General features: G+C 56.3%; 1 protein-coding gene across 6 annotated transcripts in view, besides 5 other annotated features; it reads left to right on the top strand.

Moving 5' to 3' along the window:
* Nucleotides 1-26,735, top strand: part of MYO18A (myosin XVIIIA) — a 109,277-nt gene that overhangs the window by 69,610 nt on the left and 12,932 nt on the right. For 4 of the 6 annotated variants that reach the window (NM_203318.2, NM_001346766.2, NM_001346765.2 and 1 more), the window contains 22 exons: nucleotides 167-353; nucleotides 688-931; nucleotides 3,600-3,709; nucleotides 7,125-7,190; nucleotides 11,027-11,155; nucleotides 11,820-11,963; nucleotides 12,344-12,433; nucleotides 12,565-12,684; nucleotides 12,890-13,001; nucleotides 13,439-13,566; nucleotides 13,874-14,028; nucleotides 15,730-15,853; nucleotides 15,939-16,139; nucleotides 16,699-16,809; nucleotides 17,362-17,466; nucleotides 17,788-17,934; nucleotides 18,333-18,446; nucleotides 19,863-19,979; nucleotides 20,174-20,257; nucleotides 20,691-20,828; nucleotides 23,668-23,853; nucleotides 24,212-24,351. In NM_203318.2, the coding sequence (NP_976063.1) occupies nucleotides 167-353; nucleotides 688-931; nucleotides 3,600-3,709; nucleotides 7,125-7,190; nucleotides 11,027-11,155; nucleotides 11,820-11,963; nucleotides 12,344-12,433; nucleotides 12,565-12,684; nucleotides 12,890-13,001; nucleotides 13,439-13,566; nucleotides 13,874-14,028; nucleotides 15,730-15,853; nucleotides 15,939-16,139; nucleotides 16,699-16,809; nucleotides 17,362-17,466; nucleotides 17,788-17,934; nucleotides 18,333-18,446; nucleotides 19,863-19,979; nucleotides 20,174-20,257; nucleotides 20,691-20,828; nucleotides 23,668-23,853; nucleotides 24,212-24,351 (2,952 nt within the window). Of the gene's footprint in view, nucleotides 1-166; nucleotides 354-687; nucleotides 932-3,599; nucleotides 3,710-7,124; nucleotides 7,191-11,026; nucleotides 11,156-11,819; nucleotides 11,964-12,343; nucleotides 12,434-12,564; nucleotides 12,685-12,889; nucleotides 13,002-13,438; nucleotides 13,567-13,873; nucleotides 14,029-15,729; nucleotides 15,854-15,938; nucleotides 16,140-16,698; nucleotides 16,810-17,361; nucleotides 17,467-17,787; nucleotides 17,935-18,332; nucleotides 18,447-19,862; nucleotides 19,980-20,173; nucleotides 20,258-20,690; nucleotides 20,829-23,667; nucleotides 23,854-24,211; nucleotides 24,352-25,140; nucleotides 25,186-26,735 lie in introns of all 6 variants that reach the window. The other 2 variants (NM_078471.4, NM_001346767.2) reach the window with 2 other exon arrangements.
* Nucleotides 1,628-2,210: an enhancer, noted in NCBI's record as "H3K27ac-H3K4me1 hESC enhancer chr17:27435597-27436179 (GRCh37/hg19 assembly coordinates)". NCBI's record gives its function as "activates a minimal SCP1, AML or CMV promoter by ChIP-STARR-seq in primed H9 embryonic stem cells {active_cell/tissue: H9 hESC(primed)}" and the evidence as "EXISTENCE:reporter gene assay evidence [ECO:0000049][PMID:30033119]".
* Nucleotides 7,091-8,056: an enhancer, noted in NCBI's record as "H3K4me1 hESC enhancer chr17:27429751-27430716 (GRCh37/hg19 assembly coordinates)". NCBI's record gives its function as "activates a minimal SCP1, AML or CMV promoter by ChIP-STARR-seq in primed H9 embryonic stem cells {active_cell/tissue: H9 hESC(primed)}" and the evidence as "EXISTENCE:reporter gene assay evidence [ECO:0000049][PMID:30033119]".
* Nucleotides 13,402-13,902: an enhancer, noted in NCBI's record as "H3K4me1 hESC enhancer chr17:27423905-27424405 (GRCh37/hg19 assembly coordinates)". NCBI's record gives its function as "activates a minimal SCP1, AML or CMV promoter by ChIP-STARR-seq in naive H9 embryonic stem cells {active_cell/tissue: H9 hESC(naive)}" and the evidence as "EXISTENCE:reporter gene assay evidence [ECO:0000049][PMID:30033119]".
* Nucleotides 13,903-14,403: an enhancer, noted in NCBI's record as "H3K4me1 hESC enhancer chr17:27423404-27423904 (GRCh37/hg19 assembly coordinates)". NCBI's record gives its function as "activates a minimal SCP1, AML or CMV promoter by ChIP-STARR-seq in naive H9 embryonic stem cells {active_cell/tissue: H9 hESC(naive)}" and the evidence as "EXISTENCE:reporter gene assay evidence [ECO:0000049][PMID:30033119]".
* Nucleotides 23,524-23,818: a silencer, noted in NCBI's record as "tiled region #1762; K562 Repressive non-DNase unmatched - State 15:Elon". NCBI's record gives its function as "represses a minimal TATA promoter and a strong SV40 promoter by Sharpr-MPRA in K562 cells {active_cell/tissue: K562}" and the evidence as "EXISTENCE:reporter gene assay evidence [ECO:0000049][PMID:27701403]".

Genomic DNA, 26,735 nt, shown 5'->3' with positions numbered 1-26,735 from the left:
CACAGTTTGTTTCTCTGTAGGGTGTGGGGCATGCAGTTCAGGTAGCCAGGCCCCTGGACGTGGCTGAATGGGACTGTTTAGTGTTCTGGGGCCTTGGGGGAGGAGCGGCCTTTCCCGCTCCATCGATGTGACTGCTTTTCCTCCCTTATCCTCCCACCTCTGGCAGAAAAATCATCAGCAACCTGTTTCTGGGCCGCGCAGGCAGTGCCACGGTGCTCTCTGGCTCCATCGCGGGCCTGGAGGGCGGCTCGCAGCTGGCACTGCGCCGGGCCACCAGCATGCGGAAAACCTTTACCACAGGCATGGCGGCTGTCAAAAAGAAGTCACTGTGCATCCAGATGAAGCTACAGGTGGTGAGTGCCAGCCGGGTCCCAGCAGGCAGGCCTGGGGACCCTTCCTTACCCCTGGTAGGCAGGCCTGGGGACTCCGAGCACACTGAGGCCATCTGGTGCCCACTCAGCGTCCCACTGTGACTCAATGGCTGCAGGTGGGGGTCTTCTTTTCAGTGCTGCCACCTGTGAGTGGCCACCGAGGCCCGGCGAGGGCAGAGTTGTCCAGGTTTAGCATGTCCTGGCTGGTGCTGGGGCCGCTGCTACCCTGTGAGCAGTGGAGACGCTGGCACCAGTCCCTGCTCTTCTGAGCACAGGCCATCAGAGCCCACTGAGGGCAGTCTCTTCCCCTCGGCAGGACGCCCTCATCGACACCATCAAGAAGTCAAAGCTGCATTTTGTGCACTGCTTCCTGCCTGTAGCTGAGGGCTGGGCTGGGGAGCCCCGTTCCGCCTCCTCCCGCCGAGTCAGCAGCAGCAGTGAGCTGGACCTGCCCTCGGGAGACCACTGCGAGGCTGGGCTCCTGCAGCTCGACGTGCCCCTGCTCCGCACCCAGCTCCGCGGCTCCCGCCTGCTCGATGCCATGCGCATGTACCGCCAAGGTGGGGCCTCCTTTCCTCTCCACTCTGGGCTCTCTTTTCCAGAGCTGGCCCTGCCCGGCCCCACCTCCCACCTGCGACCCGTGGGCTGCAGTGGGGCTGCTCCTGTCTTTCCTCACGATCCTTTCTGCTCTGGTCTCTCCTCATCTCTCCCAGCCCACAGCCCCTTTGTCCATTTCCTTCCATCCTGCAGAGTCCCCGCCTCCTCCTCTCCCTTCCATATTCAGTTCTCTTTGTCCCCCTCCCTTCCTAGCTCCACCCTGCACCTTGTCATTTGTCCACAGCTCCCTTTCTTCCCACGTCCCTAGTTTGGACAGTTCAGCTTTGCCCACAGCAGCAAACCCAGTGCCCTTTCGGAGCCATCTGCCCAGTGAGAAATGAGGTGCTAAATCTTTCTGAAGTACTTAAAATTCCCAAGAAAGGTCAGACAGACCCTTTTTTATGGACCCATCTAAAGGAGGCGACAGACAGGATGATAGTATTAGTGGTTACTTAGAGTCCTTAGAAGCTGTTATCGGTGGCTGGGGGCCGGGATAGCACACTGGTATCATTCCAGATGAGGAGACTGAGGCTCAGAGAGGTTAAGTAGCTTGCCCAAGGTCACACAGCTCCTGAGTGGCAGAGTGGGATTTGACCAGGCAGGCTGGCTGTAGAGTCATGTCTCATGTCTCTCAAGTAGGGTGGGTTTTTTTTGTTTTTTTTTTGTTTTTTGCCTGAGAAGTTATGAGTTGCTGGGTTTCTGCTGTTTTTCTCCTTCACTAGAAGAGCAGGTAGGGTCCCACCCACCCACAGCCAGGTCCCCTTCAGGCATTCCCATGGGCACTAAAACTTCCTTAGCAGCCCAAGCCAGGAAACAGGCTCCCTGCCCTGCTCTAAATAAATCATCGATCTGTCCCCACGTCTTGATATGGAGTTGGTGTTTATTATTTCAAAACCAGATTGTTACCGCTCTGAACCAAAATCAATGTGCGTTACTCAAACAAGCAGATCGATGAGGCCAGCAGCGGCAGGCCCCCCTTCCCTCACCCGGCCCCCAGCCACCGCACTATAGCACTGATGATTAATTAAGATGCCAGGCGTCCAGACCTGCTATCCTGGCCCATCAATTTAATTGCAATTCAGATACAATCAATAGCTCACTTTGTCTTGGCCCCTCAGCAGCCCCCACCTCCTGTTTCAATTATCAGGCACATGCATCAGCCTCACCTCCCAGCTGGAGGGTTTCCCAGAGCCAGCTAGCCCGTCATTGCTGTGGAGCATGCCCTTGGCTAGCTGTCAGGAGTCCAGGTTTGGAAGCCAGTTCTGCCCCCAGCAGCAGCCTTTGTGACCTTGAGCAAGACAGTCGCTCCTCCCAGGCCTCCGTTTCTGTGTCTGAAAGATGAGTTGGATCTGGCTTAAGATCCCTTTCTGGTTTGAAATTCTGTGATTTTGTGGGAGTGGAGTTCGTGGCCCTCCACCCTGGGCTCTGGTAAGATCAGGGTGACTTGGGGTCACTTCCTGCTAGCCACTGCTCTGACCCACTTTGCTCCAAGCCAAAAGTCAGGTCACACCTCCCCTGACCTGAAGCCCAGACACTCTTCAGGGAAAGAGAATCTACAAGTCTTTTTGGTCACCTGGCCTAGGACTCAAGGTCAGGGTGAGGCAAGGAGGGCAGCCTTTCTCATGTCCTGCTCTAGTGGACAGAGGGGGAAAAGGAGTGTTTATTAAATGCCAACCAAGTGAGTCACACTGTGCTTTTTACCTGGTTTCTCATTTAATCTCCATGACTACCATTCGAGATAAGTGCGAGGGCCGCTGTTTAAAGGTGAAGAAACTGAGGCTCAGAAAGGTTGAGTGACTGGCCCAAGGTCACATGATCCTAAGAGGCAGGGCCAGGAATCCAGCACCTAGCCAATGCGCGATTCCTCTCAGCTACTCTCTGGTGCCTTTTTTTTTTTTTTTTTTTGAGACACAGTCTTGCTCTGTCTCCCAGGCTGGAGTGCAGTGGTGTGATCTTGGCTCACTGCAGCCTCTGCCTCCTGAGTTCAAGCGATTCTTCTGCCTCGGCCTCCTGAGTAGCTGGGACTACAGGCATGCACCACCATACCCGGCTTACTTTTTTGTACTTTTGGTAGAGACAGTTTTACCATGCTGGCCAGGCTTGTCTAAACTCCTGGCCTCAAGTGATCCTCCCACCTTGGCCTCCCAAAGTGATAGGATTACAGGCGTGAGCCACCACGCCTGGCCTGGTGTCTTTTTTTTTTTTTTTTTTTTTTTTAAGACCATAAGACATTATTTTGTCTGGGTTATCACTGAGGCATAGACTTGGAGGGCTGGAAAGCATCTTGGGGATTGGGATGTAGCCTTCCTCCCAGCTGGTCAGCTACCCCACAACCCCCCATTTGCATACCTCACTGACTACTAGGAGCTTACTTCTCTCTGAAGGAGGCTGTTCCTTTTTTGGGCCTTCCTATCCCCCTGTGGAGCAGGCCTGATTGTCCTCCTGACCTTCTCTTCCTCTTCCCTGCCTACCCCCTCTCCTTTCTAGGCCTGCCTTCAACCACAGGCTCCCCACCCCCTGCAGTTTCTTCCCTTTTGGTGACTCTCCACTGACTGCCCAGGCACAGTGGCTACTGGGGTGTGCTGGGAGCAGGTGGCGTTGACAGGCCTGGCTCTGGGCTGCTCTCTCTAGGTTACCCTGACCACATGGTGTTTTCCGAGTTCCGCCGCCGCTTTGATGTCCTGGCCCCGCACCTGACCAAGAAACACGGGCGTAACTACATCGTGGTGGATGAAAGGCGGGTAGGTCCAGGTCCCCAGACCGCTCTCCCTCTGCCCAGGCCCCTCAAGCAGCTGCCCTTTCCAGACTCATCTGCCTTCCCTTCCCTGGAGACAGCTCATCTGGCCCTGCTCAGGCTCCCAGTTTTGGAAGCACCCAGCTGTGTCCTGGGGCCCAGACCATAGGAGCTGGAGAAGAGCCACCCCCTCCTTGGAGGCCTGAGCTGGGGGTGTCTGCTTGCTGGTGAGCCAGACAATCATCCAGGAGCGAGCAGGGCCTGGGCGCACTGAGGGTGCATGAGAATTATTAGTGCTTTGGGAGCCCCACCGATGGCACCTGGGCCCCCATGTCAGGGATTGGTTCCTGAAGCAGGAAGCTGTCCAGGGCTGGGCGAACATTCCTCCTAGAAGGAAGGTGGATATGGTGAGACCTCCGTGGTGCCAGGTGAACATAGGCTGCCGGGCCATTTGCCGGCCCTGGTTGGTGAACTTGTGGCTGCGGAAGGGGTGTCCCTGCCCGTCTGGGCTATCACCTTGAGCCCCAGAGGCAGCCCCTTAGACAGTCACAGGGCTCCCAGAGCAGAGGACCCCTCCTTTACTGTGCTCGGGCCTCAGGCATCCAGCCTGATTCTGAAAGCACCTCAGACCTTAGGATGGCTTCCCTAAATGGAGAGGATGCTGCAGAATGGGGCAGAAAGCCCACAGAGTGCCCAGCCTGCCTCTGTGTGTGCCCCCCTGCCCCTCCACCCCTGCCTTAAAGACCTGAATTCATGGAGGGGGCTCGGAAGAACTTCCCTCCATCCTTTGGCCTGCTGGTGGCCTGGGCAACCTCATGTGGACATAGATGCCCGTCCCACGCCCCCTTCTCACAGGCCCTCAGCCTCCATTCCAGCCTCCCACCTGTGGCTACACCAGTACCTCATCAGCTCTGGAAATGCCCCAGCTCCAAAATCATAAATCCCAGCATGGCCTTCTCTGACCACAGCCTCGTGCCTGCTGGTCCCACTCCTCTCTTCCCCTCAGGACACCCGCTCTCTGGCTCCATCAGAACCTCTCTTTCTGGATCACACTCCATTTCTCTGTGAATTGTCTCCTTTTCCATGGTTCACTCTGCAGTCACTCGGCCTCCCTCACCCTCAGCCCTCCTGAGCCTCCCGCAGCACCTGGCCTGCCCAACTCCCACCGAAGCGCCAGCCTCTGGGTGTCTGCACTCCTTGCTTTGGGCTCCCAAGGGTGGTGGGAGAAAATTATACAACTTTGTGGACTTGACTTCCTACAGGTTCATGGTCTTCAGCCTTTGGTGGGCCCTCAGGGGGACCAGCAAGTCTTCTAGATGTCCCCTCCTTATCTGGCCGTGACTCCAGGCTTCCTGTCTGCTATTGCATTCTCCATCTTTCTTCTCAAATCCTCCCCGCCCCACCTTCCTGGCTCACCTTCCCAGCAGATGCCCAGCCTTCAGATCTCAGGACATCAGGCTCCAGCTTCTTCTGCCTCCTGCAAACCTCTCTTCCCTAGCCTCCTTCTTCCCGTACCCCTTCTGTCTTGGTGGGGAGGGTCCCTCTCATCCAGTCCCTTGATCCTGTGCCTTGGAGTCCATTTCCTTGGGTCTCCCCAGAGACCCATTCCATCAGTGTGAATTCACTTCTCTCTCTTTTTCCTCTGGCATCTCTTTTTCTCCTGGCCCTTTTCTCTCCACGGAGAAACTCCCCACAGACCTGCAGGTTTTGCTCTCTGGAAGGAGCCTCTGTCATCGTCTCCCTGGACTGTGCTCTGCCTCCTGCCTGCCCTGGGCTTTCCTCCTGCTGCCCTCACTGCCCATGGCTGCCTGGTCCCTCTCCCTGATGCCCTGGCACTGGTCTTCTCATCCCTCACGCCCTCCATATTGCCAGAGCCAACCGGCACTTTTCTTTTTTTTTTTTTTTTTTTTTTTTTGAGACAGAGTCTCGTTCTGTCGCCCAAGCTGGAGTGCAGTGGCGCCATCTGAGCTCACTGCAAGCTCCGCCTCCCAGGTTCACACGATTCTCCTGCCTCAGCCTCCCAAGTAGCTGGGACTACAGGCCCATGCCCAGCTAATTTTTTGTATTTTTAGTAGAGATGGGGTTTCACCATGTTAGCCAGGATGGTCTTGATCTCCTGACCTCATGATCCACCCACCTCAGCCTCCCAAAGTGCTGGGATTACAGGCGTGAGCCACCGCGCCTGGCCCAACTGGCACTTTACTATCCCTCTGTTACTTGAATTCTTAGCAGCATGGGGCTCCGTTCTTTCTGGGACATTCTCTCCTGGGCCTCTTTGCTGCCACTCCTGGTTTCCCCCTTGACTCTGTTCTCACTCCCTCTGAGGTCCTCTTTTCCACTTGCCCCTGAAGTAAAGAGGTGTCTTCCTCAGGACTCTGTCCTTGGCCATATGTATTTTCTATTCTGCACCCTCTTCCTGGCCATCCTCATTCACACTCATCACTTCAATTATCACATATATATTGATGACTCCCAAATCAATACCTCTAGCCCAGGCCTCTCTCCTGAGCTCCAGACATACATTTCTATCTGGCTGCCTCCTGGACTTCTCTACCCTACCCCTTATGGCATCTCAGACTCAGCTTGTTCAAACCAAACTCATTCTCCCCACAAGCCGCCTCTTTCTCTTATATTCCCTACTTTGGGGAATGGCATCATTATCTGCTTAGTTACGTAAATTGGAAATCTCAGTATAGCCCTAGATTCCTCCTTACATACCCTATCCCCGTATCCAGCAAGGCTCTGTCTCCTTAACACCTGCTGCGTGTTCTCCTCTTCTCTTTCCCTTGGGCCAGGCTCTAGCCTCCCTTCCTGTGGATTACTGCCTAAGTGGGGTGGGTCTCCATCCATCTACCCATTTGCCAGTGAGACCTCTACCAATGCAGACCTGATCATGCCCATCCCTAAGAGAACCCTTCAGGGGCTCCCGAAGCACATGGGGCTCCACATGCTTTGGCTTCAGCCCCCTCTCTAGTTGCACCTTCACTACCCACCCCCCAGTTCCAGTGAGTGACTTGGAGTTTCCTCAGTGCATTTTGCTGTCTTGTGCTCCCAGGCCTTTGCGTACACTGGTTCCTCTGCCTGAAATGCCCTCTCCCCTACTTTGTCCAACAAATTCTCACTTGTATCATAAGTTCTCAGCACAACCAACAGCTGTCTGAGGTGCCTTGCGTAGGTGCGACCTCCTGTGGGCACTGCACAAGTTCACTTGTCTTGCTCCCCAGCAAGACGGTTTGTTCCTCTCGTAGTCATCTCTATGTCCCCAGAGTCCAACCCAGTGCCTGACACTGAGGAAGCCCACGCAAGTGCATGAATAACAGACTGTCTAGGAGGAGGGAGGGGAAGGGCCAAGGGCCTGGAGAAAGCCCTGCATGGTGAGGGGAGGCCCAGGCGGGCTGCCTGACAGAGGCCTCTCTCCACAGGCAGTGGAGGAGCTGCTGGAGTGCTTGGATCTGGAGAAGAGCAGCTGCTGCATGGGCCTGAGCCGGGTGAGTTGTCCCACAGGAGGGCAGTCGGGCCTCACTCCAGGGGCCCCTGTCAGGTGGCTGGCCCACTCCTCCTGTTCTCTTTGCTCAGCCAGACATCACCAGTCTCCTGGTGCCCTCTGAGTCTTGCCCCCAGCTCCACCCCGCCCAGCCACTCAGGGGCTGCCCCCTTCAGGGCCAGGGGCCAGGGAGCTAGAGGTTTCAGATGCAGCAACCTGGCTTTCCTTCATTCTGGATAACTGGCTTGTTCAGTGGAACACCTCTGTGATGTCAGGAGAGAGTGGGTGGAAGGTGGCCCTGAACTTGACCCGAGTCCTGGTGTGGGGAGTAGGGGAGACAGGAGGGCTGGACCCAGAGGATGTGGGCTGGAAGAGGCAGGAGGCCTTGGGTAGAGCCCCTGTGGAGAGTTATCTGGGGCTGCTGGGTTCCAGAGAGCAAGTAGGACATGGTGAGGCTGTGCCACCACCACCTGCCCACAGGCCAAATTCCTCATCTGAATGGAACGCCATGCGTAAAATGCAGGCACGCTGGCCCCTGGGTGCCAGTCTGCCACGTCACTCCTCACCAAAGGGTCAGCTGAGCATTCCTCCCACAGGCAGGAAGCCCTGCATGCCCCTCTCTTCCGAGCCTGGGAAGCTTGGACAGGTGGCACCCGCATGTGTGCCCCAGGGCCAGGGTGGAAGGGAGGCCAGTGGAGAGCCAGAGAGGGTTCTGGACCAGTTGTCTGCCAGCAGAGAGGGAAGGAACTCTCGGTTGCAGGGCCCCGTGGGGCGTGTGCGGTGGAAGGAGGTGCTTGCAGAGGCTTGAGTCTCACTTGTCCTGTGTGCTTGGTCCTCTCGGCCCTGCATGTTGAGTCACTTTCCTGGCTCCTCCTGCCCTTCGTCTCTGTCAATCGCTCCCATCTCTGTGTCTTTGCGTCTTCCCATCTTTGCTTCTGCTGTCTCTGGCTTTCCCTTTGGCCCCAGCAGTCCCTGCTGGTCTCTATTCCTTGGTTTCTAGTTCTGTTTTTCTGTTTCTCTCCTTGTTCTCTGTGTCTTTGTGTCCCATCCACTTTCTGTGTCATTTTCTGGTTTGTGTCACTGCTTTGTCTACCTCTGTGTCTGGTTCAGCTCTTTTCTCTCTCTCTGTTCCCCTCCTCCTGCTTTTTTAAGCTGGGGCTGCCAGCTGGGCCCCTGCCTAGGGCTATCTGCTGTCAGGATTTGCTTCAGCTGCAGGGTCTCTCCCTGGGTCCACTCACCCTGGTCTTTCCCGCCAGGATTCCTGCCTCTCAAGCAGGCTGAGCTGCTGCTGGCTGCCACTGGGGATGGCACCTCCTCCAGCCCATGCCTGGGTTCCCAGGCCTATCTTGGGAAGGGCAGGAAAGGGCCTCTACAAGCTGATCCTCTTCCCAGCTGCCATCTCAGACCTTCTGTCATCCTGAGCCATGCCAGGTGCCCGGCTGAGGCAGGCAAGCCCCAGGGCCCACTGTCACTCAAGGGCAGAGCTGGGTCAACATTGGGTGCCTGCTCACATCTAGTTTGGGAAAGAAAGTTCAGGTCGTCTAGGCTCTGGTTAACACTGACTCATGGGCGAGGATTCCCTGTGTGTCACATTGCTTCAGAGGAGGGGGGTCTTCATCTGAGCCATGGGACCCTGAGAGTTTCAATAAGGACTCTGGGGGGGCTCAGAGCCTCCTGACATTGTAAAATTTGTATGAATGTGTTTTCTGGGGAGGAGATGGCCCTGAGCTTTCACCCAATACCCAAAAGGACCCTTAACCCCCCAAATGTTCAAGAGAGATTTGAGGCTCACTGCTTTGGCCTCTAGACCATTCTTTCTCTTCTCATTGTGTCTCTGAGCCATTATCCACCCCCCACTCCAGCACCTCACTTCTGCCCTGGTCAGGTGGCTATGTGTCCTAACCAAGCGTGTTTGCTGTCCTCCGGCGGGACTTGGATATTCCTTACCCCCAGCAGGATTTCAGGCTTGCACATTATATGAAATTAAGCAGCTGGGGGCCAGGCGTGGTGGCTCACGCCTGCAATCCTACCACTTTGGGAGGCTGAGGTGGGCAGATTGCCTGAGCCCAGGAGTTTGAGACCACCCTGGGCAACATGGTGAAACCCCATCTCTACTGAAATACAAAAAAAGTATCTGGGCATGGTGACGGGCACCTGTAGTCCCAGCTACTCGGGAGGCTGAGGCATGAGAATCGCTTGAGCTCAGGAGGTGGAGGTTGCAGTAAGCAGAGATTGCACCATTGCATTCCAGCCTGGGTGACAGAGCAAGACTCTGTCTCCAAAAAAAGAAAGAAAGAAATTGAGCAGCCAGGCACAGCAGCTCATGTCTGTAATCTCAGTACTTTGGGAGGCTGAGGCAGGAGGATTGCTTGATGCCAGGAGTTCAAGACCAGCCTGGGCAACATAGGGAGACCCCATCTCTACAAAAAATACAAAAATTAGCTGGGAATGGTGGTGCACACCTGTAGTCCCAGCTACTGGGGAGGCTGAGGTGGGACGATAGCTTAAGCCTGGGAGGTAGAGGTTGCAGTGATCGATGATCACACCACTTTACTCCAGCCTGGGTGACAGAGCAAGACTGTTCAAAATAAATTTAAAGAAAAGAAATTGAGGCTCAGGTAGAACTTAAGACCCATGGGAAACCCCATGTTCGATGGTGGGATTTAGGGAAGTGTCACAAAGGACTGAGCTGGCTTTTTCCAAGGCCAGCCTCAGGGGACCAGGTTTCTGTGGAGTTGCCAGAGGCAGAGCTTTCTCAGCAGAAAGTTTAGGCCCTCTCTTTGCATCTTTGCTGAAGGGGGCCTTGGGATACTGTGTCTGTTGGCTGAGTGCATTTATGTAACCTGTGTTTCCCATGATGTTCACATCTTCTCTTTGCCCTACAAAAAGGAATTTTCTGTGTTCTGTGCCAGTTGGAGGTAGGCCTATACCTAGGTGTCTCTGCCCACTCTCATGGATAGAGCTATTTTTTTCACCCGACCCTTCCCGTTTCACACACACTTCCCTTTGTGGCGTGTGGCAAATTTTACCGAGCCCTATCTCAGGGCGGCACAGAGTGTTAAGGAAAGGCCGGGCGTGGGGGCACCCAGCTGGTTCTGCACATGCCTGCCCTCCAGCCCCCAAACCTGTATGACAGGTCCCTCAGCTGGGCCAACCCCCGCCCACCTCACTGGCTTCTTCATGAGAAGGTGAAACTTGGGTGTGTGTTGGGGGGTGGCACATGAAAGAGGAGACCATCTGAAATGAAACTAGCAGGGAGGGGGAGGAGAAGGCAGGAGCTTCCCACCACCCCCCTTCCCATTCTCCCCGCTTTTCCTCTGCACGCTGCGCTCCCCAGCGCTGCTTCTCACACAGACATCCTCCAGCATCCACTCACCCGATCCCAGCAATTGGGAGTCAGAGGGGCCTGGAGCCCAGGTTGGGCCCTGCAGTGGGCTGTGGGCACAGGGGGCATTGACAGGGTTGCTGGCAGTCCTGGGTGAGGAAGCCCTCACAGATGTGGCAGGACGCCCCCTCCCTGTTTGACCAATGACTGCTCCATTTCCTTCCTTGCCCCAGGTATCTTCCCTTTACCTTCCCTCTCCTTTCATCTCTCTTTGAAGTTAAATTTCACACCTTACCCCTCCCCTGCCAAAACCTCCCCAGCCCCTTCTCCCTCAACCTTCCCAGGGCCTCTTCCTGCTCCTCCCCTCCTCTCTTGGACAATTGGATTTTGAGGCTCTTCCCAAGCCAAGGGCTGTACTCCCTGGCCTGCTTGTTTCTCCAGTTCCTCACCTTCTCTGCCTTTCCTCTGCTGGGCTGGCCCAGTATCCTGCCTTCACCTGGCCTGCTTTTTCACAGGTGTTCTTCCGGGCGGGCACCTTGGCACGGCTGGAGGAGCAGCGGGATGAACAAACCAGCAGGAACCTAACCCTGTTCCAAGCAGCCTGCAGGGGCTACCTGGCCCGCCAGCACTTCAAGAAGAGAAAGGTGCTGCTCTAGAGACATCCCTCCCCCTCCCCAACCTAGATGGGCACAGCCAAGTTCCTGGGGTGGGGGCTATAAGGGGGAGAAGAGGCAGGAACCTCCCAGGGCACCATGTCCTGGGCCAGGGTGGGGAACAGGCAGCTCCCTGGTGCCAGCAAGTGTGCTGGTGTGCCCAGCGACGGGGCCTGGTTGGAGGGCTTTGATGAGGGGTAGGGGAATCAGGGCCCAGGCAAAGGTGGGCTCCGGATCATAGGCTGCTCCATGAAGATTAAGGAGCTGTGTCAGTGACTCCTTTTCTTATTAGCAAGTCCATAAAACAGCCAGCACTGCCGCCTCTTGTGTTTCAGCAAGATTAGGTTTTATAGCACAGCTAGGCCAGGGTGCTGGAAATAATCAGGCAGCAAATAAAGCAGATGAAATTATTCCTAATGGCAGTGGAGTGGCTAGTGCCCAGCGCAGTGCTCCCAGGGCTGGGTTCTGTGCTGCCCACCCTTTGAGGGACGGAGTGAGCCTGGGGCAAGGGGGAGCATGAGAAGTATCTGACTCGGGGTCAGGGGGCCAGAGGAGCAGCCCTGGGGGCCTGTGCTGGTGGTGGGGAGGATCCTGGGCCGAGCTTGGCCAGGGTGACTGAGAGCCCCGCTGTGCACCACCCCCACCCCACCTGCAGATCCAGGACCTGGCCATTCGCTGTGTACAGAAGAACATCAAGAAGAACAAAGGGGTGAAGGACTGGCCCTGGTGGAAGCTTTTTACCACAGTGAGGCCCCTCATCGAAGTACAGCTGTCAGAGGAGCAGATCCGGAACAAAGACGTATGTGACAGCCTGAGAGGGCCAAGTCTCTGGGTAGGGGGAAGCCTTGCTGGTTTATCTTGGGCTTCCAGGCGCTTCTTCGTTTAGTCCAGAGAGCTGTCATCCTTGAAATGTGCTCATCAAATAGAAGATGTCCCTCTGGGGTGCTGGCTGAGCCCCTGGACAGCCTCTTACGATAAAATCTTGGGCATCCCTAGCTTATTGGGAAGCGTCTAGGGACAGGATCCCCAGGAGGCAGTGGCTCTGCTATTGGGGACATGCCTTCCCCATGGCGTCCTGGCCCAAGCTTCATCAGCTTCGTTCACTACAGGGGTGCAGACCCAGGGCCCCAATCCCTCGCAGTGCCTTTGGCTCACTTTGCCCTCTTTGGTCCACCCTAGGAGGAGATCCAGCAGCTGCGGAGCAAGCTCGAGAAGGCGGAGAAGGAGAGGAACGAGCTGCGGCTCAACAGTGACCGGCTGGAGAGCCGGGTGAGTGACTCCTGGCACCACACCGACTGGGCATGGCTGCAGGGAGACCCAGCCCCTGCAGGTCCCCCAGGTGTTCTGGCTGAGTGAGGCAGGCACTTCAACTGGTGGTGACTCCCTACCCCCAACCCCAGATCTCAGAGCTGACATCGGAGCTGACAGATGAGCGTAACACAGGAGAGTCCGCCTCCCAGCTGCTGGACGCGGAGACAGCAGAGAGGCTCCGGGCTGAGAAGGAGATGAAGGAACTGCAGGTGAGGGCAGGGCCTGGGTGAGAACAGCAGGCTGGTGACTGCCATACCCTAGTGCCCATTGGCTCCCCCCAAAGACAGTTGGCATCTTCACCCCTAGCCCAGCATCCCTGTCTGCCCTTGGTAAGCATGTGATCATGGTCTGTGTGGTTCGGGGAGTGGGTATGAGGGGATGGAATGGCACACCCTGAAACCCTGTCTTCTGCAGACCCAGTACGATGCACTGAAGAAGCAGATGGAGGTTATGGAAATGGAGGTGATGGAGGCCCGTCTCATCCGGGCAGCGGAGATCAACGGGGAAGTGGATGATGATGATGCAGGTGGGCCTGAGGCCCAAGGAGCTCGGCAGTGGCCCGCAATGCGAGCCCTGATGCCCACCCCTGGGTAGTCATGCCCCTTGTCCAGGCCTGTCTCCCCTCCATGGGGCTAAACTGAAAGAAACAGATGAGAAGGCAGAGGTGCCAATAAATGCAGGGGATTGTTAGGTAGAGCTGAAACAACCATGATCATGACAAAGACTGAGGGCCGTGGTCCCAGCAGTCCTTTGGGGGGCACAGCACATGTAGCCACATCTCATGCTCTGGTCTTCTCCTGGCTAGTGGCTCCTTCTGCCTTGGGAGGAAGCCATCATTGCAGAGAGCTTTCTGAGCCCTGGCTGACTCCACCTGCTGCTCCCCCTGCCCCATCCTCCTTCCCCTCTGCCCCTTCTGGGGACTCTCAGCACCTCCATCCTCCCTTGTCTGCCTCAACCCCACAGGTGGCGAGTGGCGGCTGAAGTATGAGCGGGCTGTGCGGGAGGTGGACTTCACCAAGAAACGGCTCCAGCAGGAGTTTGAGGACAAGCTGGAGGTGGAGCAGCAGAACAAGAGGCAGCTGGAACGGCGGGTGAGGCTGGGGAGGAGCTGAGGCCTGTGCCTGGGAGGGCCAGGAGAGGACTGGTGCCTTGTGTCGGTCCAGTGAACTCTGGGGGCAGGCAGGCCTGGCTGGAATGGATCGGGGAGGCTGGCATGTTAGCTTCTTGGTGCAGGGGCAATCAGGAGCAAGCTATCATTAGAGCTTCTTCAGTTCCCTGGGAGACCCGACTTCCTCCTGCATCCCTGGGTCTTCCCCTCACTCACCCACTTCCCTCTCCTCACCTTCTCCACCTATGCTTCTGGGTCTCTCTGTATATGCACCCCATCTTGGCCCCTAGCTCGGGGACCTGCAGGCAGATAGTGAGGAGAGTCAGCGGGCTCTGCAGCAGCTCAAGAAGAAGTGCCAGCGACTGACGGCTGAGCTGCAAGACACCAAGCTGCACCTGGAGGGCCAGCAGGTCCGCAACCACGAACTGGAGAAGAAGCAGAGGAGGTGGGTGGGCCCCCTGCCCTGGGCCCAGAGAACCTTCTGGAGCAGCCACAGACAGGACTGCCTCCTCGCCCTCCAGGGAGGAAAGAAGGAAGGACCTGAATTTGTCCAGGGGCCTTGCTTGCCTGGTCACTCATCTTGGAACGTGAAGGGGCCCCCTCCTGACCTCCAGGGTGGACTCAGGCTGTGTCCCCACTGAAGGCCTGCCCAGGCCTCTGCTTTCAGAGGTGCTCCCTGCATCATGTGCCTGTCATCCCGTGCCAGGCCCCATCAGGAAGTGCATCAACCAGGGCCTGTGCAGGAACCTCTATGTCCCTGCCCTCAGCCCCCAGCTCTGCCTCTCCCTCACTTGCCTCAGCTACACAAACACACTCTCCTGACTAATGTCGTTAAACTACCGTGCCACTTCCATCTCATTATGGTAATGATACAAAGGAGGGGGGTGGCCCTCACAGGAGAAAATCCAGTCTAAATTAATTTCCGGGGCTGGGAATGAGGATGGGACGTCTTCATTAGCAGTACTGAGGAACCCACACACCCTAGGAACAGCAGGGCGCCCTGGGGAGCGGGAACAGTGCCCATTTCTCCTCTGCAGGGGAAGGGCTTCTCAGCAGAGGCACTGGTTGCCTTTGTGAAGGGGTATCCCCACACCCACAACACTGGGAGTGAGGATGGCAGAACAGAACCTTTCCAGTGACCCTGGGTTACCCCCGGCCTCCTGGACCAACCACCATCTCCCCAGCTGGGGAAAATAGGAAGGTTTTCTATTCCTCCCACCTGACACCATGACCACCACTTCCCTCATTCTCATCTCTGCCCCCACCCTACCCCTTTACCCAAAGGCTGGCACCCTTAGCTCGACCCCCCTTCTGAGCACCCGATGACATTGCCAGCTCGGCCTAGTTACTGTGCTGCCCTGCTCCCCGCTGGGCAACTTATTAGGTTTCAGCTGCCCGGAGTTTTCTTACTTTTTTTGATGTGGAGTTGGGGTAAGGGGAGCATTCAACTTCCACAGGAACCTGATTAGCTATTCAGGGAAGGTGTTAAGAGGAATTTGAGCAATTTGCTCCATATTTAGTGGGAAATGGAAGGCTGGCAAGTGGAGGAGTGAAGAACGAGGCCCCCTGTGTGCCCATTGAGGCATGTGGCCAGCTGGGCACAGTGGGAATGCCAGCTCTGAACCCAGTATGGGGTGTCCGGGTGGTGTCCTGCCGGCACTGCTGGGGTGCGTGGTCCTGGCCAAAGGCTGGTGCCCAGAGGCAGGGGCAAGGAGCTAGCTATTGCCCTTACAGTTGTCGAACCAAACTGTGGAAAGTGAGTTAGTGGAAGCAGGGTGCTCATCTCTATCCTTTTCCCACCCCACCCTCACCTGGGTCCCTCATTCTTTGATGTGTTGAAATGGAAAATGTAGAGACTTAACTCCTGAGGGGGCCTGTTAAGCAGTCTGTGGGTCCCTCTTAGGCCTACTTGGTGAAAGGGCTCACCTGAGTGCTCCCTATCCCAACCCAGTTGCTCAATAGGGCCTCAGTGGCCTGACCTGCCACCTCTAAATGTCACCGCTACCTTACAACTGGCCCCACGTTAGGGCTGCATGGGTCCCCCCACCCCTGCTTGAGTCCTGTCCATGGCACCACCTCCTGACAGTGTCTGTGTGGGGGACCCTGGCTCTTCCCCATCTGATGGAGCCGCCACACTCCCTCGCAGGTTTGACAGTGAGCTCTCGCAGGCGCATGAGGAGGCCCAGCGGGAGAAGCTGCAGCGGGAGAAGCTGCAGCGGGAGAAGGACATGCTCCTCGCTGAGGCTTTCAGCCTGAAGCAGCAACTAGAGGTGGGTAGGGCCACCCACCATCTGTGCCCTGTCCCCCTCACAACCTGGGGTCAGCCCTGCACCAGCCTCATCTCTTTTGCTCCAGGAAAAAGACATGGACATTGCAGGGTTCACCCAGAAGGTTGTGTCTCTAGAGGCAGAGCTCCAGGACATTTCTTCCCAAGAGTCCAAGGATGAGGCTTCTCTGGCCAAGGTCAAGAAACAGCTCCGGGACCTGGAGGCCAAAGTCAAGGATCAGGAAGAAGAGCTGGATGAGCAGGCAGGGACCATCCAGATGCTGGAACAGGTACAGGAGGGCTTGGCCAAGGGAGAGGTGAGGTGCAGCGAGGCCGCCACCATCCCCACAGCCAGCCTCAGGCATGGGCCAGAGGATCCTGCCTCCATTCATTCGCGTATTCACTCACTCACCTACTCACAAAATGTGGAGTGAGCACCTGATCTGTGCCAGCCACAGTGTGAAGACGCGCTCGTGGAACTTTCCACAAAAACAAATCTGATGGAGCTCTAGTAGGGAGGGGCTCAGGATGCATGGCAGCTGAGGGCCACAGGCCCACCCAGCCTGCTACCCAGCCACCAAGTCAGTTCAGGGAGCTAGAGCCTGCAGGCAGACGGAGAAGCTGCAGGACTGTCCCCACCCCAGCTGCCTCTCTGTGGGCCTATGCCAGACCTCTAGTAAGGGAGTTCAGCTGCTCTGGAGAAGCTGCTGCCACGGGAGCAAGGTGCCAGCAAAGGGAACTGGCTGGTGGACGTTCTCGGCCCCTGAGCCTAGGGAGAGCCATGCACAGGTGGGAAGGGGGTGGCCACAGCTGGGGAGGGAACCCAGACCCTACTCCAACCACCTCCAGGCCAAGCTGCGTCTGGAGATGGAGATGGAGCGGATGAGACAGACCCATTCTAAGGAGATGGAGAGTCGGGATGAGGAGGTGGAGGAGGCCCGGCAGTCGTGTCAGAAGAAGGTAAGGTATCTGAGTACTTACCTGTCCAGCGTAAACACCTGTTCCCATCACCGCTTTAAAGTAAGGGGCTTTCCACCTCCCTACCTCAGCCACATCGTCTTCCATTGTCATTCTGGGCCAGGAAGCGCCTCTCGGGATCCTAGCATTGGCAGGATGTATTGGCTCAGAGTCTGTAGAGAAGCTTGGGCCCCTGAGGAACTATCGCTCCCTGCTTTCTGTGCCAGGGGCAGCCCCCTGTGCCCCTGCTGTGCTGCGCTGCACTGGTGCTGCCTGCAGTCAGCCAGCCTGGCCGGGCAGGTCTCCACCATGCGGCAAGGTCTCTCCTACTCTGTCTTGGCTAGCCACCGCATGTGGCCTGCCATCCCTCCTCACCCTCCCAGGCTGCTTTGAAACCCTAGAAACCTGGAATTTAGGTTCTGACCCCTCCACCAACATCATTGTGCTCAGGCCTGCCCCACTGTTTTCCTGGAGTGGGGAACCCAGAATGGAAGGGGCCTGCTTCGCACCAGGCACTAAAGGGACGGACGGGTCTCTGTCCCCATGGTACTCCAGTTAAAACAGATGGAGGTGCAGCTAGAGGAAGAGTATGAGGACAAGCAGAAGGTTCTGCGAGAGAAGCGGGAGCTGGAGGGCAAGCTCGCCACCCTCAGCGACCAGGTCAGGGGATGCTCCACCCACCAAGCCTGGCCGGCTCCCTGCCCATGCGGCCTGAGGAGTGGGGATCCTAGGGATGGGGAGCCACGAACAGAGCTGTCGGGGGTGGGGGTGCTGCAAAGAGCCCATCGTCATCCCTTGTGGGATGGGGGCATCACCATACATTGGCACACCCAGCCCTTTATCGCTGGTTGGCATGACCCTGGCTCTTCCAGCATCCTTATGGGGACACTGATAATGAGGACGTGGTGAGGAGGGAGCTTGGGGAAGATAGGAGGAAGCCCTGTGCAGAGCCCAGAACCCCAACTGCTGGTGCCCACCCAGGTGAACCGGCGGGACTTTGAGTCAGAGAAGCGGCTGCGGAAGGACCTGAAGCGCACCAAGGCCCTGCTGGCAGATGCCCAGCTCATGCTGGACCACCTGAAGAACAGTGCTCCCAGCAAGCGAGAGATTGCCCAGCTCAAGAACCAGGTATCCACAGAGAGCACACGGCTGATCCAGGCACAACAGAGCTTACCTTTCCATTCTCTTTCTCTCTCTCGCTCCTCTCAGTGGTTCTTGAGTCCTTGGGAAGGAAAGTGACAGGAAAGAGGGGAGAGCCACGTGTAGCAGCTAGACTCCCCAGGCTCTGCGTGTGCCTTACTGTCTCACCGCCCAGCCTGGGATGGTGTGGATGGGGCCTGGTGCCCACCAGCCATGTCACGGGAGGAGATCCCCACGCGTGCACCACCACACAGCCATGGCCCTGGGGTCTGAAGTGAATGGAGGAGGAGAAGGAGGGCATCCGAGCTCCCTCTTTCCTGTACAGCCCTCCTGCCCCCAAGGAATGGCTGACATCTCTCCCTGGGGCGGGGGTGGTCTGTGTCCAGCTGGAGGAGTCAGAGTTCACCTGTGCGGCAGCCGTGAAAGCACGGAAAGCAATGGAGGTGGAGATCGAAGACCTGCACCTGCAGATTGATGACATCGCCAAAGCCAAGACAGCGGTGAGGGGCCAAGGTGCCCGGGGCAGAGCTCGGGGGGCTGAGGCAGAATAGAGCTGCCTCTGTGGCTCCCTTCACCCTAGACAGGTCCCTCCACGTCAGGACTTGTGACAGGTCCTTTCACGCCAGGACTTGCTGCAGGAAGAGCGGGCCTCCCCTCCTCTGCGTCTCTCCACACTGAGCAGAGGCCTCGGGGAGGAGCGGGCAGAAGAGGGAGCCAGCAAGGGCCCATCTCCCTGTTTAACCACCTGCCTACGGGAGCTTGGCCGCAGGCCCCAACACCATAAATAAAGGCAGCTAATGTGGCTGAGGGATGTAAACAGGTGCCTAGAGATTAGCAGAAGCACAGATAAGAGGACAGGATGGCTTGGCTTCCTTCCCCTTCCCCCTGCCCAGCCCACTGACAAGCCCAAGCGGCAGCTAATTAGAGCTCTTATTTAATGCCTCCCTTTTAATTTCCCACCTCTCCCACGGCCCATCCATCGGCAGAGAATTCATTACTGGGATGCGGCCAGTACAGGCAGCTCCTTGAGCATCACTGGTCCTGGGACCCACCCCAGTGGGCAGGCCCCTTGGGCAGGGAATGGGGCAGGGGAGGAGGCTGGGCTGGGCTGGTGGCTTCATGGCCCCTGAGCTAGTCACCTAGCTGCTGAGAGATGCCAATCTCACGGGCTTGATTTATCCCCATGACATTTGTGCTCCTCAGCAGTTCTCAGGTGAGTAATTCAAATTCCTTAATTGTGTTAAAAAAGGTTGTTATAAAATTACCATTTTATTTAAATCTGAGTTAATAAATTTCTTGGCGGAGGCTTCCCCAGCTCCCCACAGCCCAGTAACAAGATGGATGGGGCAGAGAAGGAGCCAACACAGTCATTTTGGTTTGGAATTACAGGCTAATAGATTCATTCATTTCCTGAAGCTGCTGTTGGATCTCTCTTCCCCTCCCCCAAGGAGGGGACTGGCTGTCGGGGCTGGATGCCCAGGGAGTGGGCAGTCCCAGGGAAAATGAGAGTCTAAGCCAGGAGACCTTCGCAGACTTGAGGGGTCCTTCCCTGGGGCCTGAAGGGGGCAGAGTGCACGCAGGCCAGGGCCTGGACTGATAGTGCCAGGATGATGGGTCATTTGTTCTGGGCAGACCTTTTCTGCCTTCTCATTAGCCTCAAAGGAGCTGCCAGGAAGCAGCTGTCATTCAGCTCAGAGGCCCAGGGTCTGCCTGTACTGCACACAGCCCTTTCCCTCATCTCCCTGGTCCAGAGCGGGACAGGCAGCTCCTTGAGCATCACTAGTCCTGGGACCCACCCCAGCAGGCAGGCTCAGCCCATTATCATCTTCTCTACAATGCCCCTGCCATTGGAGGCAGCTGGAGCCCACAGGCACACTGGGCCTGAGGCCCTCTGATCTGTCTTTGCCTCTCTCCAGCTGGAGGAGCAGCTGAGCCGCCTTCAGCGTGAGAAGAATGAGATCCAGAACCGGCTGGAGGAAGATCAGGAAGACATGAACGAATTGATGAAGAAGCACAAGGCTGCCGTGGCTCAGGTACCCCTGCCAGGAGTGCCCGTCACACTCTGCACCGTCACCATCCTTGTGGTCCTCCTCATGGGTCCCCCGCACAACCGCTTGTTTTGGGAGGTGATGGAGTGGGAACCTCGGTCCCCTGGTGTTCCAGCTGGGCTGGGCTGGTTGAATGCTTATGGGGGATCCTGCTTCTGATGCTCTCATTCCTTTCCCAGGCTTCCCGGGACCTGGCTCAGATAAATGATCTCCAAGCTCAGCTAGAAGAAGCCAACAAAGAGAAGCAGGAGCTGCAGGAGAAGGTGAGGACCAGGGGCTCCCTCAGGAGAGAGAGAGTGCCAGGGTCACTAGGTGTGGGAGGAACCCCCAAGTTCACAGTTTAGAAGGCGCTTTTCTCTGCCATCAGTAATCCACAGAGCAGCGTAAATGAGGAGCAAGAGCTAGGCTTGGAGCCATGTCACCATAACAGACATTTGGGCTTCCCCTGCCTCATTTCCCATCTGTATTCCCTCTCCGATCCTTAGCTTTCTCCTTTCTCTCTGAAGGGCAATCTCTGTGCCAAGCACTGGGGCAGATGGGGGAGGCCTCTGGCCCAGGGCTCCATTCTCTTTCCTCCCAGGTGCATCCCTCCCTCCCCTTGCCTTCTGGTCACTGTGGTGATATTGCCTGCCCCAGACGCAGTCTCCTCCCTTTCTGGGCTCAGTTCTTTCTTCTCTTCCTGTCCCCCACCTCTAGCTACAAGCCCTCCAGAGCCAGGTGGAGTTCCTGGAGCAGTCCATGGTGGACAAGTCCCTGGTGAGCAGGCAGGAAGCTAAGATACGGGAGCTGGAGACACGCCTGGAGTTTGAAAGGACGCAAGTGAAACGGCTGGAGGTGGGTTCACACTTCTCCCGGGCCACACCAAACAGGGCAGAGCTGCCCCAGCGCTGGAGCCGCGCATGCTCAGCAGGGCTGGACAGGCCCCCGGACAGTCCTCAGAGGCCTGTGCCTCACTGCCAGGCCAGCTGACGGGCAGGTGCTTCTCTCCCGCCCTGCCTGGCCTGCTCTCTGGCTACCGTGGAGCCCGCCTGCTTTACATTCTGTTTCCGTGCTTGCTTTCTGCCAAGGGACCAGAGCAGCTTAGCTCTTCGTCTTCATATTTTCCTCCACCACGAGCTCCCCCCGCCTGTTCCCCTCAACCGGTTCTCTGGCAGGGTCATAAATATGCAGCGGATGGTGCCACTTCTGCGCAGGCTGGAATCTGTTCTCTCATCTGCCCTCGCTCTGCTCCTCTCCCCTTCCCTGCTTCATTCCCTTTCTTCCTCACTTCTTCTGCCCTCCTGTCTCTGCTTTTTTTTTTCTCTCTCCCTTTTTCTTGATTATGATCCTATTCTTTCTTCTCCCTTCATTTTTTTTTTTTTTTTTTTTTTTTTTTGAGACAGAGTCTCACTCTGTCGCCAGGCTTGAGTGCAGTGGTACGATCTCGGCTCACTGCAACCTCCACCTCCCGGGTTCAAGCGATTCCCCTGCCTCAGCCTCCCGAGTAGATGGGACTACAGGCACGTGCTTTTTTTAAATTGTATTTTAGTAGAGAGGGGGTTTCACCATGTTGGCCAGGATGGTCTTGATCTCCTGACCTCATGATCTGCCCGCCTCGGCCTCCCAAAGTGCTGGGATTACAGGCATGAAATATTTTATATTTTTTCCTCTCTCCAATCTTATTTCTCTTTCTTACCCTCTTCCCATCCCATTCTCCTCTCCCTTTATTATAAGGTTCATTCTCTCTTCTTCCCCTTTTTTTTTTTTTTTGAGATAGGGTCTCGCTCTGTTGCCCAGGCTGTAGTGCAGTGACGCAATCATGGCTCACTGTAGCCTTGACCTCCTGGGCTCAAGCAATCCTCCCATCCTCCTGCCTCAGCCTCCTGTGTAGCTGGGACCACAGGCATGTGCCACCATGCCTGGCTAATTTTTGTATTTTTTGCAGAGACAGGGTTTTGCCTTGTTGCTCAGACTGGTCTTGAACTTCTGGGCTCAAGCAATCCGCCTGCCTCAGCTTCCCAAAGTGTTGGGATTACAGGCATGAGCCACCATGCTGGACCAATCCTTTTTCTTTCGGTCTCCCAAAGCCAGTATTGGCCAGCCCCTTCCATCTCTGGCAGAGCAGATAGCAAGAGAGAGGCAGAAAGGATTATCTCCTGGGTTTACATCCCTCTCACCTTATTTTTAAGTTCTCCTTGAGTTTATAAGCCTTTGTCTCCACACCGTCGGTTCTCCCTGGGCCCTGTGTTGATGAGTGTGGTTGGTGAGGGGCAGCCCTGTCACCTCCTCCATCAGCTCACAGTCCATGGAGCAGGCATTTAGGTAGGGATAGAAACAGGTGGGCATCTAGATGGCATTAATAACCTGGACACAGGAAGAGAGCACAACTGACCCTTCCAAGGCGGGGTCACAGTTCTCAGGAGAGCTGGAGAGAGTTAGGGGAAACTTAAGAACTTATTTTCGGCTGGGCGCGGTGGCTCATGCCTGTAATCCCAGCACTTTTGGAGGCCAAGGTGGGCGGATCACGAGGTCAGGAGATCGAGACCATCCTGGCTAACACGGTGAAACCCTGTCTCTACTAAAAATACAAAACATTAGCCGGGCGTGGTGGCGGGCGCCTGTAGTCCCAGCTACTCCGGAGGCTGAGGCAGGAGAATGGCGTGAACCCCGGGGGGCGGAGCCTGCAGTGAGCGGAGATCGCGCCACTGCACTCCAGCCTGGGCGACAGCGACACTCCGTCTCAAAAAAAAAAAAAAAAAAAAAGAATTTATTTTCTGCCCACCCCAACCCCAGGCTGGCTGATAATATTTTGATCCCCATTTTACATACAGGAAGGGTTAAGTGGGTTGCCTAAGGTCACAAAGCTATCAAGGGACAGAAGAGGCCATTGGTCTGGTGGACACAGGACAGGCCCACAGGACTTGTCTCCTTTTCTCTTGGGCCTAGTCCCTTCCCGCACCTCTACCCCTCAGGTTCCCTTCCGCTCAGAGAGTTTTGTGGTTTAGACTCATAGGATGTTAAACACAAACGGCCCAATCCTGCAGCCTGGCTCTTTTATTTTAGGGATATAGAGGCTGGGGGACCAGTCCGAGGTAGAACCAGGATTACAAGCAGATGCGGGGTTCTTCCCTCACATTCAGCCCCTCTCTCCAGGTCATTTTTTGCTCAGCATCCCACTGCCTGGCAGGAGATTCATTAGGCTTAGAGAGATGCTCTCTGCTTGGAATCTGATGATTGTTTAGTCTCTCCTAATTCAGAACTCCAGCAAAGCCATTTACCTCTGAGCACAGGATCTAGCTTTTGGGGCTTCTGGGTTCAGAGTCCCTGCGGGAAGCCCTGCTGACCTGAGAGGACTCTACATGCAGTGTCAATACCGACAGGCCCACCAGGCTGTACCCAGAACACTCCCTCAGTCTTGGTGTAGTAATAATGATAATAGCACCTTTCATCTTTCAGAGTGCATTCACATTCATTACCTTATTCATCCTCAGAAGACCCCTGGGGGTTAGGTGTTATTCTCCCCACATTTTACAGAAAAGCAAGGGAAGCTTCGGGGTTGCTTGCCCAGGTAGCCAATGAACGGTGGAGCCAGAGCTCGACCCCAGGCCTCCTCACCCAGAGCTCTGCCACACCCTCCCTCTGCCTGGCTGATGGGCCTGCCTGCTGTGTCTTTCTTCCCCACCTACCTATCCAGAGCCTGGCTAGCCGTCTCAAGGAAAACATGGAGAAGCTGACTGAGGAGCGGGATCAGCGCATTGCAGCCGAGAACCGGGAGAAGGAACAGAACAAGCGGCTACAGAGGCAGCTCCGGGACACCAAGGAGGAGATGGGCGAGCTTGCCAGGAAGGAGGCCGAGGCGAGCCGCAAGAAGCACGAACTGGTAATGCCCCCTGTCCCCCACGGGGCCCACATGGCAGCCCCTTGAGTAGCTGCTGAGTGTATGCCTCACTCTGGCCTGGTTGAGGATAGGGTGCAAAGAAACTGCACATGAGTCAGAGAATGGGAGGGAGGAGGAGCATATCAAGAGGGCAGGCCAGGAAGCTAGCGGCACTGGAGACTCCCTCAGATGAGGCTTGGACCCCACAGCCCAGCAGCAACAGAGCGGAAAAGGCTCTGGCAGCCTGTGTCAGCCCTCAGGTAGCACCCCCATGACCGGAAAGTACTTGAAGCAGGCTTCTTCTGGCCATCTAGGGGAGAAGCTAGCCCTCCTGCAAACTGGGCTGCCCCCTTCCTCCTAGGAGATGGATCTAGAAAGCCTGGAGGCTGCTAACCAGAGCCTGCAGGCTGACCTAAAGTTGGCATTCAAGCGCATCGGGGACCTGCAGGCTGCCATTGAGGATGAGATGGAGAGTGATGAGAATGAGGACCTCATCAACAGGTGAGAAGTGGCCTCTGGGGCATCTGCAGCTAGCACGGAGGCCCTCTTGACCACCTCTGGAACCAGACGACCAGGTAGAACAGTTGCAACCTCTGCCTCCCCATGAGCAAGCCGCCAACCCACCCTCCCTTTACTGCCAGATCCCAGCACAGCCTGTCCTGCAGGGGCAGACGGTGAGACAGGTGCACCCTGATGGAGGCCACCCAGCCAGTCTCCCCTCTCCACGACCAGGCCCTCCAGCTCTGCCCGCTCAAGATGAGTTATTCTCCCGTTTAGCTGCATTTCCGATGGCACCTGCCCCACTCTGGGGAGAGCAGAGATTTAAAGGCTGTGGTGCCTTGTTACTATGCCAGAGATTTTCTCATAAAACCCACCCGGGGAATGGTTTGGAGAGAAAGAGATTTGTAGTCTTAGGCTGAGGAGACAGTCACGAGGAAGGAAGGCCAGCAGTGCGGGGTAGCACCAGGCCATGGAGAAGCTCCCAGGGCTGCCCTAGGTGGACCCTAGATCTGCCCCCTTCCCACCTTAGGGCTGGGGCCCATCCTGCAGGCAGGTCTGGGGCAGCGCAGGGACCCTGCTGCTTTGGGGCAGGGGAGAGGTGCCAGGGGCAGCCCGCATCAGATTTTGAGGACAGTGCCATCACGCATCCCACTACCTGGTCTCAACCAGCCAGAGCTGGCTCTTGCTGAGGGAAGAGAGGTCTTCAGCTAAGGGGTCCACCTTGGGTTGCCGATTGATTTCATCTGTTTCCTCTGGACCCCTTGCCCACCATTTTCCTTCTATTTCCAGTTTGCAGGACATGGTGACAAAGTATCAGAAAAGAAAGAATAAACTGTGAGGACTGGAGCGCATGTGCTCTCTGCCTGTCCTCGCGGGTGTCTAACCACCCCTAACACTGGCTCCCACCCTGGGGCCGCTGCACGCAGCATGTGGATACAGCCTCCCCACACTCCCGCCTCACTGGTCTCTAACGCTAACATGCTGACTCTATCCTCGGGGGAGGCAGGGAGCGGGCAATGAGGTGTGCTCCCCAGAAGGCTGGGGCTGGCCCGTGCACCCTTGGTGGGCAGGATGGGGGGGCTCCTGCCGAAAGGAAAGCGCAGCCTATTTGAGAAGTTTACCTTCCTGAGCTCCAGCACATTCCTCCCTCAAAAACCAAGTGTGGCCACCTCCCTGGCCTATTTCTCTGGGGGGAAAAGTCTGTTTGGGCTGGATCTGTCCACATCCTTGGGCTCCTTGGGAGCCTGAGCTGCCTGAAAGAAGCGGGCGTGTTTCATCTTTAAAGGTCCACTACCTTCTCTTGGCAGACAAGGGTAGAAGGTGAGGGGCATCTCCCAGTTTCTTGTTTGGAGAAAGCATTCAGGCAGCTAATCATGGGCTGCTTGCCGTGGCGGGGGAAGGGAACACAGCCAGATGTGTTTACTTTACTCCCTGCGGTACCGTGGGCAGAGGGAGGCCCCAGCGGGCGCTTGTGCTGGTACTGTCAGGTGGCAGGAAGCCCAGGAAATCCAGCCCTCTCTTTTCCCGCTTTCTGGGTGGGAGCTGGACAGCGGATGCAGATGCGCAGGCCTTCAGGCAGAGCGGGCTGATCCTCCATCAAGTTCGACAGGGTTGTTTTTTAGAGGTCTTTTTTTTTTAGCATGGCATTGGGTTTCTTCCCCCACTCTCTCTCGCCTGATGGACCCCCTCCCCTGGCCAGGATGGGCTGGTGGCAGCGCACAGGACTCAGTGAGAGCTAATGATAAATGTAATAGTGTGTAACAGTGATAGAGGGCCGCTGGAGCCTGGTTGTCACACACAATTAATATCCCCCGCCGTTCTGTCTCCGTTTGTTTGTTCCCCCGTGATTCGGCTCCCCGTTAACTAATAGCACATGAGCCCGGACATAAATTGTATTTGACGTGAGGTTTAATTCCAACCATTTAAAATTTCAACTGCCCTCTGAGCCTGCCTGCCCCTGGAGTTTGTTTACGGGCCTGATTATTTAAGGAAAAGAACATCTTCTAGATGCTTGCAACTAAAGGGAAGGCGAGGGCAGGCAGGCCAGCTTTGCAACCCATCCACTGTTCTGTATGTAAGGAGGAAAATTCATATTCTGGGCCCACAACTGTCTGTCCCCTGTGTGTTTCAACCCTGCCATCCTTGTGTGGCAAGAGCTTCAAGGGCTGATAAAATGCGCATTTAAGATCATATTCTAAACCACTGCCAGGCATGCACACACACAGGTACACCACGCATGCACACACACTCACACACACTGGTGTGTGCTCACATAGACGCATGGGGACGTGCAGCTCTAACCAGGTTCCGGCTGATGGCAGAGAGGTGGTGTGGCTCCTTCCTCAGCAGCTCTGGGCCCCAGCTCCAAGTTATTGAGCCCAGCG

The sequence above is a fragment of the Homo sapiens genome, chromosome 17, assembly GCF_000001405.40.
Source record: "Homo sapiens chromosome 17, GRCh38.p14 Primary Assembly".
In the NCBI taxonomy this organism is placed as follows: domain Eukaryota; kingdom Metazoa; phylum Chordata; class Mammalia; order Primates; family Hominidae; genus Homo; species Homo sapiens.
The sequence above is the reverse complement of the archived record's forward strand: the minus strand, read 5'-3'. Positions and strand labels throughout refer to the sequence as shown.